General features: G+C 49.6%; 1 pseudogene, besides 2 other annotated features; it reads right to left on the bottom strand.

The window, feature by feature from the left end:
• Window positions 832-1,427: an enhancer, noted in NCBI's record as "H3K4me1 hESC enhancer chr20:55265347-55265942 (GRCh37/hg19 assembly coordinates)". NCBI's record gives its function as "activates a minimal SCP1, AML or CMV promoter by ChIP-STARR-seq in primed H9 embryonic stem cells {active_cell/tissue: H9 hESC(primed)}" and the evidence as "EXISTENCE:reporter gene assay evidence [ECO:0000049][PMID:30033119]".
• On the bottom strand, window positions 3,023-3,317 carry RN7SL170P (RNA, 7SL, cytoplasmic 170, pseudogene; annotated as a pseudogene).
• Window positions 13,518-14,019: an enhancer, noted in NCBI's record as "H3K4me1 hESC enhancer chr20:55252755-55253256 (GRCh37/hg19 assembly coordinates)". NCBI's record gives its function as "activates a minimal SCP1, AML or CMV promoter by ChIP-STARR-seq in naive H9 embryonic stem cells {active_cell/tissue: H9 hESC(naive)}" and the evidence as "EXISTENCE:reporter gene assay evidence [ECO:0000049][PMID:30033119]".

The following is a 19,312-nucleotide window of genomic DNA, read 5'->3' as shown; positions in this document are numbered from 1 at the left end:
ATATCTTACAATCATTCTTTCTCTCTCTCTCTCTCTCTCCCTCCCTCCCTCCTGCTTCTCTCGGTGGTGAAGGGAAAGGGAACATGGCCAGAAACAATGTTAATATTTCAGGGAGAGCTTATCTCCCCAGGGTCAGCCTATAACATGACAAGGCAGGATTCTGATTAGCCCAGCACAGGCCATGTGACAATTCCCATGGACTTGGGGACGAGGGCTGCAGATTACCAGGCCCAGCCCACACTCCCACCTCACAGCACCGGGTCCAAGCTTTCACAATTCACAGTCCTAGCAGAACCGCTCAGAGCACAGGAGGGCCACTGAGGCGCTGGGGGCAGGGAAAGGAGCTGGACAAACACCATCAACAAATATCTTCAGCCAACCCACACTGACGATCCTGATAATCATTCAATGCTAATGCATGTTGACATAGAAAAATGAGTGGAATCAAAGGGACGGAAATAGAAAGCACCCTCAATGCCACTGATCAGCGCCAAATACCATTAACTCTTTGGTGCATTTCCGAGTTTTCTGTGACGGTCCCTAAATGAAAAGCTAAGCTTGTTTTGCTTGCTTGCTCTCCAGATGAGCCCTACTTCCAAAGGGGCCCATTTACATTGGCTTGGGCTCTTCCACCGAGCACGTGGCCTTTGCCCAGCCTGGCAGCCTAAAACAAGAGGCAGGCAGACGGCTTTGCCAGCCTGACCCGCATGCACATGGCCCCCAGCCTGGGCTCCTTCTCAGCAACCCCATTCCTCAGCCCTCCACAGTGTAGTCATGGGCTGGGAGGGGAGCTGGGGCCCCAGGTGCACCACAGACAGCTCCACTCCTTGTCTTTGTTTTGCTCTGGTGGTTGTGAGTGGGTGCATTACTGGGGTACACATGATTGTGTGTACATGCATGCAGGGGCATGCATGTGCCAGGGAGCCTGTGCAAACGTGTGAGCTTATGTGGGTGCAGGGCTGCACTCACGCCTGACCAGGGTTCTGGCTCACCTAGGCCACTTCCTGCTCTGCCACCTGCTGCCACGCCCACCCCACCTGTAGAAACTGATGATATCTTTTCCCTTTCAAAGCTTTCACCTCCCATCGCACGATCTCCATTCAGTTTCCCAACACCGAGGAGGAGATAGCCTAGGAGAAGGTGGCACAGGTGTCATTATCCCTGTTTACAAGATAAAGAATTTAACGCCCAGAGAGCTAAATGTAAAGCCTACGGTCTTATCATACTTCTGTCACACAACCAGTTACTGCTGGAAGCGACCACTCTCTCCTGACTCCTGGGCCCGTGATCTTTTCACCAGAAAGGGGGTTCTCAGACTCATTCTCATTATGAAGCAACACATTCACTGATCCTTTCAACTAAACAAACACTTCCTGGGTGCTTCCTGGAGCTCAAGACTGGGGCCAGGTGCTTTATATGCAATATTCTGAATCCTTCCAACAGCCCAGTGACTGCATTTTGCATAAAGGAAGCTCAGAGAGGTTAGGCCATGTGCTCCAGGTCACACATCTGCTGTAGCGGATGCTGTGGTCCTAAAGGAAGCTCAGAGAGGTTAGGCTGTGTGCTCCAGGTCACACAGCTGCTGTAGTGGATGCTGTGGTTGCAGATCCACCCTTCCAGACCAGGACACTCCATTCCTGTGGCTGCTGGGAGCGGGAGCTGGCAGCTCACAGCCAAGCAACTCCCCAGGAATTGCCCTCAGCCTCAGAGTTGCCTCATCTGATCCCGTGGCCCCTTCCCTGAGGGACAGCTTGCGTCTGATGACTGGTAGATAAGTTTTGGCCTTGATTGATTGGGAACATCTCTTAAGCGCCCACCTGGCTCAGAGTTCCCATGAGGAAGAGCCGAGACCTCAGCACTGCAGCCCAGCTGCTTACCCTCCCTCACAGGTGCAGCTCTTGAGAAAACGCCCCACTAAACTGCCTGCACATAAATCTCTGATTCAAAGTTTGTTTCCCAAGGACGCAAATGCAGACAGGTAACAGGTGCAGGACTGGGAACCCTGAGCCTGGGCCTGAGGGTCTCCAGTGTCTTGGACTCCTCCACCCGACTCTGTCATCCGACCCAGATGCCAACCTGAGGCCTAACCTCTCACCTAGTGTCCCAGCTAGTGGCCGGCTCCTGCCTCCTCCACCAGGGCTGGGAACAGCGTGGCTGTTAGAGGAAGCTGTGGGCTGTCTTGGAATGTGGAGTTGCCTAAAATTCTGGCAGGAGAGCCATTCGTCTTCTTGGAATCTTGACTCACCAGTCTAATTTAACCCCCTGGGGGTGGTGCGGAACCTGCCTCCCTCCTCCCTCCCACTTCTGCCCTCTCCAGCTCCACCTAGAGCCCCTCCCAGAGCTCTCCAGGTGCCAGCCCTGGACTCCCCAGCTGGGTCCTCACACGTGCTATTCCCTCTGCCAGGAATTCTCTTCCATGCACTAAAGACAGGCAGCCACAGCCTCATCCTCCATGTTTCAGCTCAGATCTCCCTGCCTCTTCCCCAGGAAACTTTCCTGATCCTCCCAGACAAGGTCAGCAGCACCGGGGCCGCTGCTTGCCTGACATTCAACGACTTTTCACCCAAACTCCCCGCGGGGCCTGTCTGCCACGGTGGACGTCCAACTCCATAAGGCAGGGCCCTTTTCTGTTCACTGTGACAGTTTCATGCCTAGCTCTGCAGCTAGTAGGGGCTCAATAAACACTTCCTGCCTTCAGGAACACAGGACACCATCCTCTCTGGCCTTCTCTGATATTCAGGAGCTTGTCAAGGAAAGGAGGGTGTTGGGGAAAAAAATTAAAAACCCTCCCAAGAAGTCAAGCATTGCTTTGGAAAGAGTCAGCCTGAGGTTTTGTGCAGCCTGGAGCAAGTCCTTCAACCCCACAGGGGCTCCATTTCCTCACCTGTAAAAGGAAAAGTGGAATCCAGTCCCCAGAGGGCTATGCGGAGACTAAACCAGGTAAGTCCACCCCAAGTCTTCGATTCAAGTTCAATTTTTTGTCTGTTTGTCTGGTTGTTTTTTTTGGTTTTTTTTTTTTTTTTGAGATGGGGTCTGACTATGTTGCCCAGGCTGGAGTACAGTGACTATTCACAGGCGTCATCCCACCACTGATCAGCACAGGAGTTTTGAACTGCACCATTTCCAACTTGGGCGTGTTCACCCCTCCTTTTAGGCAACCTGCTCCTGGGAGGTCAACATATTTGATGCTGAACTTAGTGTGGACACCAGATCAGCATAGCTAACACACTTCAGCCCAGAACTCCTGACCTCAAATGATCCTCCTGCCTCAGCCTCCCAAGTAGCTGGGAATGCAGGCACCCATCACCACGCCCAGCTCAAGTTTTATTTTAAAGTAAATCTTATAACTATTTTCAAAATGTAACAAAAATTAAAACCCATGTGTCCCCTCTCCCAGATTTAAAACACTGAAGATCACCCACGTGTTACCTGACACGGAAAGAATGAATGGTATGGGGGCACATGTTGAGACACTACCTTTGGCCGAATTTGGCTTTAATATCCTGGTTCTCAGTGCTGACCACTGACTCCGTGGTGGAATCACCTAAGACACTCTTATTTTTTGAGACAGGGTCTCATTCTGTCGCCAGGTTGCTGTGATTATTCACAGGCACAATCACAGTGCACTGCAGCCTCAAACTCCTAGGCTTAAGCGATCCTCCTGCCTCAGCCTCCTAGTAGCTGGGGTTACAGGCATGCACCATTGTACCCAGCTGTCAGCCTAAGGCACTGTTAAAACTGCCAGTGTTGGCCGGGTGCAGTGGCTCACATCTGTAATCCCAGCACTTTGGGAGGCCGAGGCAGGCAGATCACTTGAGGTCAGGATTTTGAGACCAGCCTCGCCAACATGGTGAAACCCCGTCTCTACTAAAAATTCAAAAATTAGCCAGGCATGGTAGCCTGTAATCCCAGCTACCTGGGAGGCTGAGGTAGGAGAATTGCTCGAACCCGGGAGGCAGAGGTTGCAGTGAGCCGAGATCGCGCCACTGCACTACAGCCTGGATGTCACGGCAAGACTCAGTGCTGCTCAGGCTGTCCCACAGGGCAATTATATCAGAGTCTCTTGGGAGTAAGACACTGGAATTTCTTTACATTCCCAACGTTGGGGGACAGCAAACATTTAATCAATGTATCATCTATAATCTATCTATTGTATCTATTGAGGTGGGTGTCTTGCTACATTGCCCAGGCTGGTCTCAAACTCCTGGGCTCAAGTCACTCTTCCACCTCAGCCTCCCAAAGTGCTGGGATTACAGGCATGAGCCACTACGCTCAGAGAGAAAATGTTTTCTATAAAGGGCCAGATACTAAATATCCTAGAAGTGAACTGTCCTGTCTCCAGTGCAGCTCATCAGCTATCCCTGTGCTGCACGAAAGCAGCCATAGACAGAAGGTAAATGAGTGGCCACAGCTGTGTTCCAATAAAGCTTTATTTACAAAAACAGACTGCAGCTGGACCTTGTAGTTTGCCAGACCCGGCCCTGGGTGAGTTAAGATTGAGAACTACTATTATAAGGCAAGCATTAAAAAAAAAAAAAAAAAAAAAAAAAAAAAAAAAACCTGTTACCTGTGTGACTCAGATTCCCTCCCTTGTTTCCATCATTAAAACAAATTCGGGCCGGGCGCAGTGGCTCACGCCTGTAATCCCAGCACTTTGGGAGGCCGAAGCGGGCGGATCACGCGGTCAGGAGATCGAGACCATCCTGGCTAACACGGTGAAACCCCGTCTCTACTAAAAATACAAAAAATTGGCTGGGCGAGGTGGGGGGCGCCTGTAGTCCCAGCTACTTGGGAGGCTGAGGCAGGAGAATGGCGTGAACCTCGGGGGGCGGAGCCTGCAGTGAGCTGAGATAACGCCACTGCACTGCAGCCTGGGCGACAGAGCAAGACTCCATCTCAAAACAAAAAATAAAAAAGGCAAGCATAAAAAAAAAAAACCTGTTACCATTTGCAGCTACTCCCTGTGTGACTCAGATTCCCTCCCTTGTTTCCATCATTAAAACAAATTCGGAAATAAATGGGATGTTAAGGTTTGAGCAAGTCATCTCTCAATAGTGATGATATATTTCAGTTTGCATGGGACAGTCTCCGTTTATACCTGTTTTCCCCACATAATTAGTAAAAGAGCCCAGTTTCACTATCAAAAAGTCCTGGTGACGACGATAAATTAGTTGATCATACTATTTCAAAACTCTATTTCAATATTTGTGCTACCAAAATGACCTCATCTTAATTTTCTATTAATTAATGAAATTATCAATAGAAGCAATAGAACTTATAAAATAAATCAATATGAATTACTAAAAAAAATCAGAGAAGACCTCAGTCGTGCAGGCAGAGAGGAAATGCTCGATGAAAAGTGGGGCAATTGAGTTGAACGGCTGTTCACACCGGCTCTTCAGATATCTGAAGACGATTATACTCAAGACCGCTGACCTTCGGGGATTTCTGTTCATGGAGGAGAGAAGACGCAGCACTGAAGCCAGAACCCCGCCTGGCTCAGCAAGGCCGAGCAGAGAGAGCATCGGTGAGGAGCACGAGCCAAGCGTGAGCTCGTGGCGCCCACTTCAGAAGCGGAGCCAAATGGCTCCATCCTCTGCCAGCTGAGAGGGCAGTCGGGACCCGGGCCAGCTTTTGGTTGGAGCCTCCAGACAGGACCCTGACTCCTGGGGCACGAGGGGGCCGCAGCTGCCAGGGTCATTTGGCAGAGACCCTGGGTCGACTGCTGCCCCAGGGGAGGCCTCTTCCTCCAAGCTGCTCAGGATGAGCACGATGGGGGTCCAGGCAGGCACATCCTGGTTGGGAGTTATTGAGTGATGGTACAGAAGAACCCTTTGGTCAGAAGAGAAGGAAACACATTTGCAGCGCTTAAACCCCCAGGGGGTTCTCTGAGCAGAGAGGACTCTATCCCAGAAGCCAGAGACAGGAAGGAGAGGGACTCCACCAGTGGAGAACTGAGGAGCAAGCAGGAGGCTGGTGGTCAGCCTCTGAGGCTGGTCTCTTGTCTCTGTGTCTCTGGAGCTCTCCTCGGCTCTCTACATTCTCCCCGCATCCTCTGAGCTCCTTTTTCCTTCTTTTTTCTTTTTTTTTTTAAGAGGGTCTCGGGCCAGTCGCGGTGGCTCACGCCTGTAATCCCAGCACTTTGGGAGGCGGAGGCAGGTGGATCACAATGTCAGGAGATCGAGAGCATCCTGGCTAGCACGGTGAAACCCTGTCTCTACCAAAAATACAAAAAATTAGCCAGGCGTGGTGGCGGGCGCCTGTAGTCCCAGCTACTTGGGAGGCTGAGGCAGGAGAATGGCGTGAACCCAGGAGGTGGAGGTTGCAGTGAGCCGAGATGGTGCCACTGCACTCCAGCCTGGGCGACAAAGCGAGACTCCGTCTCAAAAAAAAAAAAAAAGAGGGTCTCACTCCATCTCTTAAAGTGGAGTGCAGTGGCACAATCATAGCTCACTGCAGCCTCAAACTCCTGAGCTCAAGCAATCACCCTCCTTCTCCCAAGTAGCTGGGACTACAGGTGTACATCACCACAACCAGCTAATTTTTTTTTTTTTTTTTTTTTTTTGTGGAGACGGAGTGTCACTATGTCACCCAGGCTGGTCTAGAACTCTTGGCTTCAAGTGATCCTCCCACCTCAGCCTCTCCAAGTGTTGGGATTACAGGCATTAGCCACCTGTAGGTAGCAGGGAGCTATGGAAGAGATTTGAAGCAAGATGGACCTCTGGACCCCCACTGGCCAAACCTTAGCTTGTTTTTCCATTGGGTGATCTTGTCTATTTGTTCACATTTAAAGACGAGACTCTCAAATGCTTATTGGAAGCTCCAGCGGGGACATGGACCAGGCTTACTCTCAGGCCTCTGGGTAGGAGCTGAAGGGATTAAAGCATTTAACTGGGAATGGAACCAGGGTTGGCACCCCTAGCACTTTTTTCTTGGGCCTTAGTTTCTTCTGAACAGCATTGCCAGATTTTACTAATAAAAATTTGTAATTTGGGGGACATATTTATGCCGAGAAAAAAGTATCTGTTGCTTATCTGAATCCAATGTAACAATGAATCCGGTATTTTATCCAGCAACCCTACCTGAGAAGAATCCTCCAGCCTCAGGCCCCTGGCCACCAGCATTCTAGAAGCTGAGCCAGGAAGATGCCAGCATTTCGCTGCTTTATAAGTAGACTTTCCTGCAATTCCGTTTTCAGGGCATGACCTGCAGCCACAGTTAGGCTGGAATCTCTAAATCCAGGTTCCCCTGATTCCAGCCTTCAGAGGAAATCCTAGTTTGTCTTTTCTTGGGATGGAAAAGGGTAGATGCCTAGCTGACCAAAGTGATGGGGAAGATCTGGGAGTCTAACTGTCCCTTTTAAAAGCATTCAGGCCAGGCACAGTGGCTCATGCCTATAATCTCAGCACTGTGGGAGGCCTAGGCGGGTGGATCACTTGAGGTCAGGAGTTTGAGACCAGCCTGGCCAACATGGTAAAACCCCATCTCTACTAAAAATACAAAAATTAGCCTGGCATGGTGGCAGGTGCCTTTAATCCCAGCTACTCTGGAGGCTGAGGCAGGAGAATCTCTTAAATCCGGGAGGCGGAGGTTTCAGTGAGCTGAGATCACGCCACTGCACTCCAGCCTGAGCGACAGAATGAAACCCTGTTTCAAAAAAATAAAAATAAATAAATAAAAATAAACCCGTTGTCGTTTGTCCATCGGCTTTCCTTCTTCCAAACTTTCTGACATCTCTGAAGAGCTGTCATCTCCCCTTCCTGTTCCTGCCCTAGTGAATGTACATGTTTTCATTCCTTTACTGCCTCGTTAGTCAGGCAGGTTCAATCTGTCTTGTTGAACCAGAGGTTCCTGCCTATCTCTGTCCAGGGACTTCACTTCATCCCTCTCTGCTGCTTCTGCTCCAGTCACACACAGCACAAACACAGCCACCCGGAGCTCGCAGGACAAGCCAGCTGAGCCCTGGTCCTGTAGCCAACTGACCCAGTGTATCCACATTCAGATTCCAGATTTCCAAAATAGAAGCTTGCGTCAGTGTCCACTGGGTCAGGATTCTGCACCTGAGCCAGGGATCCACAGAGAGGCAGCATCACCTGGCAATAAGAGCCCACACCTGTGGAAAGGAGGGCAGGTCTCAGAGAAGGTGTAGGCTGGGCAGACATCCCAAAAGATGTCTAATCCAGAGTCAGGAATCTTTGGAACATCATTGACTGTGAAGAGGACCATCGAACATCCTCCCTCCAACTCTCCACAACTTGGCCCTATTCTCACCTCCTCCCATGCCCACTGACGTCTTGTGAATTCCCCTTGCACACAGAGAAACATAACTGAATTACTGTTTTCTACACCTATCTAATCACCATCTCTGCAAATCCTGCCTCCCAAGCACAAATGGTTTTTAGTGTCCACGTCATTACCTTGCCTGGGCCACTGTCATCTCCTCGCTGCAATAGTCTCCTAACTGGTTTTCCTTCTCTAATCTTGTTTGCCTGCAATCCAATCTAAAAAGGCAACCCGTGTAGTGTTCTTAAAACACAGATCCGATCATTTGCTTCAAATCCACAGCTCCCTGCTGCCTACAGGAAATTGAACCAACTCCTCAACTGGCCTTCAACGTTATCCTATTTCACCCCCACGGCACCCCTCCCAGCACTTCACCTCCAGAAGACAGGATTATTTAAAATTTCCCCAACCTTCCACCAACCCACACAATTTCCTTCCATGACACGCTGCTTATAAAATCCACTCTACTGAGACATCCTTTTCCTCCATGTCATCCCTTAAAACTCATTTCCAGGCCAGTCATGGTAACTCATGCCTGTAATCTCAGCACTTTGAGAGGCCGAGGCAGGCAGATCGCTTGAGGTTAGGAGTTCAAGACCAGCCTGGCCAACATGGTGAAACTCCATCTCTACTAAAAATACAAAAAATAGCTGGGCTTGGTGGCACGTGCCTGTCATCCCAGCTACTCGGGAGGCTGAGACAGGAGAATCACTTGAACCTGGGAGGCAGAGGTTGCAGTGAGCACAAATCGCACCACTGCACTCCAGCCTGGGTGACAGAAAAAAAAAAAAAGAAAAGAAAACTTCATCTCCACATCATCTCCCCACAAAGCCTCTCCTGACTCATGCAAATTCACACAGCACTGGGGACCCCCTGGCCTTTGATCCTGTATTATTCTGGGCTCATCTCCATCACTACACAAAGACCCCAAAACAGACTGTGTCATCCAATATGGTAAGATAGAGAAAGTATTAAGCTGCTTAATATATAAAAACTCCTACAAACCAATATTAAAACCAATATTAAAAAACAAACATTCCAATAGAAAAAGATCAAATGAGTCCAGGAGTTCAAGACCAGCCTGGGCAACATAGCAAGATTCCACCTCTACAAAAAATTTAAAATTAGCAAAGTGTGGTGGCATGCACCTGTGGTCCCAGCTAGTATGGAGGCTGAGGTAGGAGGATTGCCTGAGCCTGAGAGGTCAAAGCTGCAATCACTCTACTGCACTGGCAACAGAGTGAGACCCTGTCTCAAAAAAAAAAAAAAAAAAAGCAAAAAAAAAAGGCTGAGCGTGGTGGCTCACGCCTGTAATCTCAGCACTTTGGAGGCCAAGGCAGGTGGATCACTTGAGGTCAGAAGTTTGAGACCACACTGGGCAACATGGTGAAACTCCATCTCTACTAAAAATATAAAAAATTAGCTGGACATGGTGGTGGGCACCTGTAGTCCCAGCTACTTGGGAGGCTGAGGCAGAAGAATCACTTGAACCCAGGAGGCAGAGGTTGCGGTAAGCCGAGATCACGCCACTGCACTCCAGCCTGGGCAACAGAGCGAGACTCTGTCTCAAAAAAAAAAAAAAAAAAAGAAAGAAAAAAAAGAACAAAGACCAGAAACACAAACAGGCAGCTCACAAAAATAAAAACAAAAGCATGAAAAAATTCTCAACCTCATAGTCAATGTTCACGTAAACAAGAAGATGCCATTTTTACCCATTAGATTCACAAATACCAAAAAGTTTGATAATGCAGTGTTTATAAGGAGATGGGGGCCAGGTGCGGTGGCTCACGCCTGTAATCCCAGCACTTTGAGAGGCCGAGGTGGGAAGATCACCTGAGATTGGGAGTTCAAGACCAGCCTGACCAACATGGAGAAACCCCATCACTACTAAAAATACGAAATTAGCTGGGTGTGGTGGCGCATGCCTGTAATCCCAGCTACTCAGGAGGCTGAAGCAGGAGAATCACTTGAACCTGGGAGGTGGAGGTTGTGGTGAGCCGAGATCGCACCATTGCACTCTAGCCTGGGCAACAAGAGTGAAACTCCGTCTCAAAAAAAAAAAAGTAGATGGGGAAAGAGTCATATTCATGAGATTCGTTGCGATAAACATTAATACAATTTCTCAGGAGGACAATTTGGCAATAACTGTAATAGTTTTAAAAGCATATGCCCTTTATTCCAGAACTCCTACTACTATATAATATGTATGTTTATGTGACAGAATGTACATCTATTCTTCCACATGTTCAGAAAGATGAGTGAAAGGTAGGTTCTTTGCAGCATAGTTTGTATTAGCAAAAGAAAAATAATGCTGATGTTAAACAGTCAATAAATTATGCTATATATGCACAATAGAATAGCACGCAACCATGGAAATAATAGAGCTATAATGGCTAACTGCTATTATTTTAAAGAAAGAAAAAAGGCAAAATGCAAAGGAGTGTGCAAAGTAAGTGCCCTTTTGTAGAAGAAAGAAGAGGTCTGTCTCATGCGCTTATATTTGTGCAGACTTTCTGGAAGGAAAGTGTTAACAGTTAACAGTGGCTGCCTCCAGGGGGAAGGATGGGGTCAGAGAGGACATCAAAGTTTACTTTCCAACAAATATAGCTCTTCGGTTCTGTTGGAATATTTTTACCATGCTAACTTTTTTTTATCTAGAGATTTTTAAAATTAAAAATAACGGGCCAGGCTTGGTGGCTCACTCCTGTAATCCCAGCACTTTGGGAGGCCAAGACAGGCGGATCACTTGAGCTCAGGAGTTCAAGACCAGCCTGGCCAACATGGTGACACCCTGTCTCTACTAAAAAATACAAAACAATTACCTGGGCATGGTGTCCCGTGCCTGTAATCCCAGCTACTCGGGAGGCTGAGGCAGGAGAATCACCTGAACTCACCATTGCAGTGAACCGAGATCGCACCACTGCACTCCAGTCTGGGCAACAAGAGCAAAAACTCCTCAAAAAATAAATTAATTAAATAAAATAAAGTAAAATAATAAAATTGAAAATAACAATCCTGAGTGGAGTCCCCCAACTCCAACTGATAAATCCCTGAAAGGCAGAAACACATTCTTACTCTCTCTGGGCCACGTGCACCATTCCATGAGGAGCCAGACTTTCCAAACAAATGACCCTCGCCCTAGCCAAAAGTCCTCCCTCGACACCTACGCTCCCTCAGCGCCCTGGTCCCTGCATGTCTCGGGAACTTAAAGCCAGGAGTTGAAATGTAAACCCTTACAACTCCAACGGCTGGCACCAACAGCACCGCAGCCCCCGCCACCAGGCGCTCTCTCGGAGTTCCTGCCTGGTTCCCTTCCCCGCATCCCCGTTTGCCTGTCAGGGACTGAAGCAAGTCCTGGAGTGGGGTCTGAGCAGACCCAGAGGTCGTGCTCCTCTTCTGCCACTTTCAGACCATGTGTAGAAACATAGCTTGATTCGACAAATACCTACCGAGAATAGTTCACTTCTCCAAATGTTTCCTGGGCACCCATAACACACCAGGCTCCATTCTAGGCACCGCAGTGAAATGCCTCCACACTCAGAAGCACCTGGCCTAGTGTGGAGAGTGAGAGTTTGGTCTCCCAAGTTTGTGGGGGACAGGAGAATTCAGTGAGAAAATGCACGCAGGGGGCTTCGCACTGAGCCTGTACACAGTGAACCCCCATCAAAGCAGGTGGAAGGGCTGGGCGTGGTGGCTCACGCCTGTAATCCCAGCACTTTGGGAGGCCGAGGCGGGTGGATCACGAGGTCAGGAGATCGAGACCATCCTGGCTAACACGGTGAAACCCCATCTCTACTAAAAATACAAAAAATTAGCCGGGCGTGGTGGTGGGCGCCTGTAGTCCCAGCTACTCAGGAGGCTGAGGCAGGAGAATGGCATCAACCTGGGAGGCAGAGCTTGCAGTGAGCCGAGATCGCGCCACTGCATTCCAGCCTGGGCAACACAGCAAGACTCCATCTCAAAAAAAAAAAAAGCAGGAGGAGTCACCACTATCACCACCAATATCCTCCTCCTCCCCTGGCATCCTCCCCTCCTCCAGGCAGGAAACGTATCTTCCCTTTCCCAGTGCCTGCAGTCACAGCTCAGGGCAGAAAACAGCTCCATGTCCTCCATAATACCTGACATGCTGTTGATTCCCACGCATCAGGAAACCTGAGCAGGGACATTTTTGACATTTGATTGAGGTTATAATCGGCATTTCTGGGAGTCCATAATAATCCCATGAAGCAGCCAAGTTTACAGCTCCAATTCATGACCATCCAGCTTTCGTCTTTAATACGCTCCTACTGTGGGCCTGGGCTGCACATTGTGGCAGATTCAGAAGTGGTGTGTGTTGGCCAGGCGCGGTGGCTCACACCTGTAATCCCAGCACTTTGGGAGGCCGAGGTGGGCAGATCACTTGAGCTCAGGAGTTCAAGACCAGCCTGGCCAACATGGTGAAATTCCGTCTCTACTAAAAATACAAAAATTAGCCAGGTGTGGTGGCAGGCACCTGTAGTCCCAGCTACTCGAGAGGCTGAGGCAGAAGAATCGCTTGAACCTGGGTGGCGGAGGTTGCAGTGAGCCAAGATCGCGCCATTGCACTCCAGCCTGGGCAGCAGAGCAAGACTCGGTCTCAAAAAAAATAAATAAATAAATGAAAAACACGAAGTGGTGTGTGTTGTCCCCCAACAATCTGGTGATGCCACCCCCACCTTCTTACAATCTCTCCTTGGGGAGCCGAGTCCTCCACACAGGAGGCAATTAGCAAGTGATGCTGTGGTTCAGTATGTCCAAGAAGGAAAGGGCAGGGTGGGCGGGCAAGTTTAGGCAGACTTCAGGGAGTAGGGGTAAGCTTAGGGGAGGTCCTCTCCATCCTCCTGCTGTACAGATTTACTAAGGCAGTAGCATGTGACCCCAAATCTGTCGTTGGGTCACATCTGTTTGTCAATTGCAGGGTTCTCAACCTTGGCTGCCTATTGAAACCCTAGAGGAAGCTTTTTTTTTTTTTTTTTTTGAGACGGAGTCTCGCTCCGTCGCCCAGGCTGGAGTGCAGTGGCGCAATCTCAGTTCACTGCAAGCTCCACCTCCCGGGTTCATGCCATTCTCCTCCCTCAGCCTCCCGAGTAGCTGGGACTACAGGCGCCCGCCACTACGCCCGGCTAATTTTTTGTATTTTTAGTAGAGACAGGGTTTCACCGTGGTCTCGATCTCCTGACCTCGTGATCCACCCGCCTCGGCCTCCCAAAGTGCTGGGATTACAGGCACGAGCCACCGCGCCCGGCCCTAGAGGAAGCTTTTTAAACCCCACTGCCCTGGGCCGCAACCCAGACCCACTCATCAGAATCTGCAGGGGTGGGGCCCAGGTATCAGGGCTTTGTAAATTTCTGCAGGTGATTCCACCGTGCAGCCAAGTTTGAGAACCAGCCATCTAGCGGCATTCATGAATTTTTTTCTGAGATGGAGTCTCATTCTGTCACCCAGCCTGGAGTGCAGTGGTGCCATCTCAGCTGACTGCAACCTCTGCATCCTAGGTTCAAGCAATTCTCCTGCCTCAACCTCCTGAGTAGCTGGGACTACAGGCACACTCCACCACACCCGGCTAATTTTTGTATTTTTAGTACAGAAGGGGTTTTACCATGTTGGCCAAGCTGGTCTCAAACTCCTGACCTCAGGTGATCCACCCGCCTCAGCCTCCCAAAGTGCTGGGATTACAGGCGTGAGCCACCACACCCAGCACATGAATGTTTTTAAGTAGTATTCCAATGGCTATTTTAACTTTTATTCCAACAGTTCTATGTTTCTTTTAAGGTGAGTTAGAAAAAAAGTGTAAGTAGCACAGCTAAACTGGCACTTCATGGACATTATTAATATGGACAGGGCAACTACACGTGAGCTTTAGTGTTGTTCCCAATCACAGGTGAGCCATCCCTTCTGGTGTGAGTTGGATGTAGTTTAAATGCTGAAAGCCCAGCCTGAGAAACATAGCGAGACCCCATCTCTACAAAAGATTTTTTTAAATTAGCCAGGTGTGGTGGCACACTCCTGTGGTCCCAGCTAGTCTGGAGGCTGAGGCGGGGGAATCACTTGAGCCCCAGGAGGCGGAGGTTACAGTGAGCTGAGATCATGCCACTGCACTCCAGCCTGGGTAACAGAGCAAGACCCTGTCTCAAAAAATTTTTAATTTCAAAAGATTCACCCCCTAGCTGCAAAAGACATCTTTCTGTCCTACTGGCTTGAACGCAGCTTACAGAAGAAAGGCTTTCTGAGAACCATTCCATCCTACCAAAGGGCCCAGTGCTCCCGGAGTGGAGGGAGCACAGGCTTTTGCCTGACCCAGCCCTCATGAAACGCCCAGCTCTGCTGCTTACTGGCCAGTGCACCTGGTGATGGCTATGAGCTGGCCTCTGTCTTCCTCCCCGAGCAATGGAGAAGCTGGCGGGGTTACTAGGAAGCCCTCCCACAGAGCACACAGAGAAAGGGAAGGCAAACGCCTCCCCTTGTCCATGGTTAACAGTGTCTGTCCTGCACTTGTGCCTCCCAGCGGCCTCGTTCTCAGAAGGCTGACCTGTGGCCCCAGATGTCTGCGATGGGAGGGAGACACTGTGCAAAAGGAAGGCACGTTCACAAAGCCTGGGACGTGCAGAGTACCCCGATGCCTTGGAGGGAGCAGGTCTGGGTGGGACTCAGCTCTGCCCTCAGGCAGGCACCTCAGACTGACCAGATGCCTGGCTCCTGGTGCACCTTGGCAGGAGGCCCACGCTGCCTGGGTCCCTTTTCTGGCGAGGTTAGCACCGCTCACACGCTCACGGCGTTGGCCAGGATTCTCCACTGTAAAGTTCCCATGCTTCCCCTGCGGGAAGGTACTTTGAGACCATGTAACCATCCCGTTGCTCTCCAACTTCACACCCACTCTATTAGTTTCTTATTTTGATTTATTTATTTTTAGTTTTTTTATTTTTTTGAGCAGCAGGGTCTCATTATGTTGCCCAGGCTGCTCTCAAACTCCTGGACTCATGTGATCCACCTGCCTCAACCTTCCAAAGTGCTGGGATTACAGGCATGAGCCACTACTCCTGGCCACATCCATTCTGTTTCCTTTGGCTGCCCTAACAAATCACCACAAGCTGGGTGACTTACAACAACAGAAATTTATTCTTGCACAGCTCTGGCAGTCAGAGTCTAAAAGCAAGGTTTCAGCAGAGCTGTGCTCCCTCCAAAGGCTCGAGGGGAGAATCAGCTCCTCGCCTCTTCCAGCTCCCGGTGGCCCCAGGTGTTTGTGGTTTGCGGCTGCATCGCGCCGTCTTTGCCTCTGTGGTCCCGTGGCACTCCTCGTCAAGTGTCTGTCTCTTCTATCTCTTACAAAAACACATGTCAGCTGGGCATGGTGGATCCCAGCAATTTGGGAGGCCAAGACGGGAGGATCACTCGAGCCGAAGAGTTTGAGACCAGTCTGGTCAATATAACAAGACCCTATCTCTACAAAGAAAAAAAAATGTTTTAAATTAGATAGGCATGATGGTGTGTGTCTCTGGTCAGAACTACTTGGGAGGCTGAGGCAAGGGGATCAGTGGAGCCCAGGAGTTCAAGGCTGGCGGCTGCTGTGAGCTATGATCACACCACTGCACTCCAGGCTGGGTGATAGAGTGAGACACTATCTCTAAAAAATAAAAATAATATGTGTCAGACCAAGTATAGTGGCTCACCAAGTGTAATACCAGCACTTTGAGAAGCCAAGGTGGGCAGATGGCTTGAGCTCAGGTGTTCAAGACCAGCCAGGGTAACAGGGCAAAACCCCATCTCTACCAAACACATAAAAAAATTAGCCAGGCATGGTGGTGTGTGCCTACAGTCCCACCTACTCTGGAGGCTGAGGTGGGAGGATTGCCTGAGCCCAGGAGGTAGAGGTTGCAGCAAGCTGAGATTGCACCACTGTACTCCAGCCTGGGCAACAGAGCAAGACCCCATATCAAAAAAAAAAAAAAAAAAGAAAGAAAAAAGAAAAAGAAAAAGAAAAAAGAATAGGTGTCATTGGATTTAGGGCCACCAGTTATCCAGGATGACCTTATCTCAAGATCACTAACTTAAACACATTTACAAAGATTTTTTTTCCAAATAAGGCTGCTTTCACGAGGGCCTTATTAGGTGGTGGACATTTCTTTCCATTCAACCCCTGAGGCCCACTCACTGTGGCATTCGTTGATGATTCTTGCCTGAACTCATCATCATGATGATTTGCCAAGTGCCAAAGATTGCTTTCTAATTCCATCTCACCTTCCCAGCTGCTCATTAGCATCCTACTGTCCCTCTCCACATTTTTAAATTGATTTACACCAGTGGGCTTTCTTCTTCTTTTTTTTTTTTTTTTTTTCTATTTTTTGGGCTGGGGGTCTCACTATGCTGCCCCTCCTAGGCTCAGTGATCTTCCCGCCTCGGCCTCCTGAAGGGCTATAGGCAAGAGCCCCACGCCCGGCCCTTTTTCTTTCTTTTCTTTTTTCTTTTCTTTTCTTTTTTCTTTCCTTCCTTCCTTCCTTCCTTTCTTTTTTTCTCTTTCTTTCTTTCCTTTCTTTCTTTTTCTTTTTTTTAAGACTGGATTTCGGCTGGGCACAGTGGCTCACACCTGTAATCCCAGCACTTTGGGACACCAAGGCGGGCAGATCACCTGAGGTCAGGAATTCAAGACCAGCCTGGCCAACATGGCAAAACCCCATCTCTACTAAAAATACAAAACATTAGCCAGGGATGGGGGCGCACACCTGTAGTCCCAGCTACTTGGGAAACTGAGGGATGAGAATCACTTGAACCTGGGTGGGGGGCAGAAGTTGCAGTGAGCTGAGATTGCACCACTGCACTCCAGCCTGGGTAACAGACCAAGACTCAGTCTCAAAAAAAAAAAAAAAAAAAAAAAAAAAGAGGCCCCCCCGCCAACAAAAAAAAAGAGACTGGATCTTGCCTGTCACTCAGGCTGGAGTGCACTGGCAGGATCATAGCTCACTGCAACCTCAAACTCCTAGGCTCCAGTAATCCTCCCTCCTCAGCCTCCCACAGAGCAGGAATCACAGGCGTGCACCACTGCATCAGGCTCCCCCTTTTGTTTTTCTAAGTCATTCATTTTTGTTGTATTTTATAAAAGTCTTGGTGAGTGACAGACTGAAAATAAACAGAACTGAACCCCCACCCCTGATAGATGGCCAAGTGCTGGTCATGGATACTTGTGGGGTGGGGGTGCAGTCATCCTCAGGGTCCCCCATATTTAATTCCTGAAACCTGCATGTCTGAATTTCAACTCTAGGTAGATGGAGTTTATTGAGTGCCTACTGTGTACCTGCGAATTACCACCTCCCTCCCGGCCCCTTCCACTCCTCACTGATTCATCAAATGGGCTCCTACCTGGTCTCCACCCACCCTCTGCCTGAGAGCCGTGATCTGAAAACAAAAACCCGAAACTCTCCAGTAGCTTCCCAGTGCTCTCGGAACTAAGTCCAAACCCCACACCTCAGCCCGCAAGGCGCTGCCTGACCAAGGCCTGCCCGTTGTCTGGCCTCATCCCCACCATTGGCTCTTTGTGCTGCCAGCCCAGTCACCCAGGCCTTCCATCTGCTTCTGACACGCACGGGCCAGGCCTTGTCCCCATCATACCTTTGCATATACTGTTCCCTCTGCCAGGAATGCTTTTCCAACACCCTTCCCATGGCAGGTCTGTGTCATCCTTCAAGTGTCCGCTCTAATGATGCCTCTTCCAGGCAGCCCAGACAGCCTGGTCTACAGTACCCATCCCCCACTAGCATTCTCTCTATTTCCTTCCCAGAACTGTTTGGGAATTGTAAATCTCTAGGCAGGGCAGGAGCTCAGATAGGATTTTCATTTATTATGCAAATGTGTCTGCCTTTCCCTGATGGCCCAAGGATTCTCTAGCTTTTCCCAGTAGAGACTGAAAGGATGGGACCGCTGAGTTCCAGCTTGGGATGCACACAGTTCATCCGAGGCAGGGAGGCTTCCTGAGCAGGGAGGCTTGGTAGTCAGTATTCCAATGGAAGTGACATGAGGAGGGGCTGGCTGGGATCCCGGCTCCCACTCACCATTTGATGATCCCATCTGGGAAAGGAGAGCACAATGGTGCCTTGCCTGGAGAGGAGTCACTGCAAGGATTCATGGTAGTAGGGCCAAAGGGCAAAGGGCATCAGTGGCTCCAGCACTAGTGGCCACCATCATCACTGGACAGTCACCTCCATGGCAGGGACCAGGTCTATTCTGTTCATCACCATGTGCTATAAATGAGCCAGCACATAGTAAAGGATCAATAAATACCTTATACATGAAGGGCTGGTAAGGTGGAGGACGCAGAAACTTACTAAAAGGTGATTTCAAACCTCCAGGATCAGTCAGGATGCCCGTGCGTGCTTTGCTGTGAACAGAGCAAGGGTGAAGCCTTGTCACAGGGCACACTGGAAAGCAGGAGGGAGGGGCTGATATGGGCAAAAGACATTTCAGCTGGCCAGCCACAGTGGGTCACGCCTGTAATCCCAGCACTTTGGGAGGCTGAGGAGGGGGAACACTTGAGAGCAGGAGTTCAAGACCAGCCTGGCCAACATGGTGAAACCCCGTCTCTACTAAAAATACAAAAATTAGCTGGACATGGTGGCAGTGCCTGTAATCCCAGCTACTTGGGAGGCCGAGGCAGGAGAATCGCTTGAACCTAGGAGGCGGAGGTTGCAGCGAGCCAAGGTCGCGCCACTGCACTCCAGCCTGGGCAACAAGAGTGAAACTCCATCTCCAAAAATAAAAAAGAGACGCAGTCTTTCCATGTTGCCCAGGCTGGTCTTGAACTCCTGGACTCAGGTGATCTTCCCGCCTAGGCCTCCCAAAATGCTGGGATTACAGGCTTGAGCCATTGTGCCCAGCCCTGACTTTTAATCTTTTTGTTTTTTTAAAAAACAACTTTATTAGCCAGGCGTGGTGGTACACACCCATAATCCAGCACTTTGGGAGGCCAAGGCAGGTGGATCGCTTGAGTTCAGGAGCTTGAGATCAGCCTGGGCAACACGGCAAA

This window comes from Homo sapiens, chromosome 20 (assembly GCF_000001405.40).
Source record: "Homo sapiens chromosome 20, GRCh38.p14 Primary Assembly".
NCBI lineage: Eukaryota > Metazoa > Chordata > Mammalia > Primates > Hominidae > Homo > Homo sapiens.
This window is presented reverse-complemented; position numbering and strand designations above follow the sequence as displayed.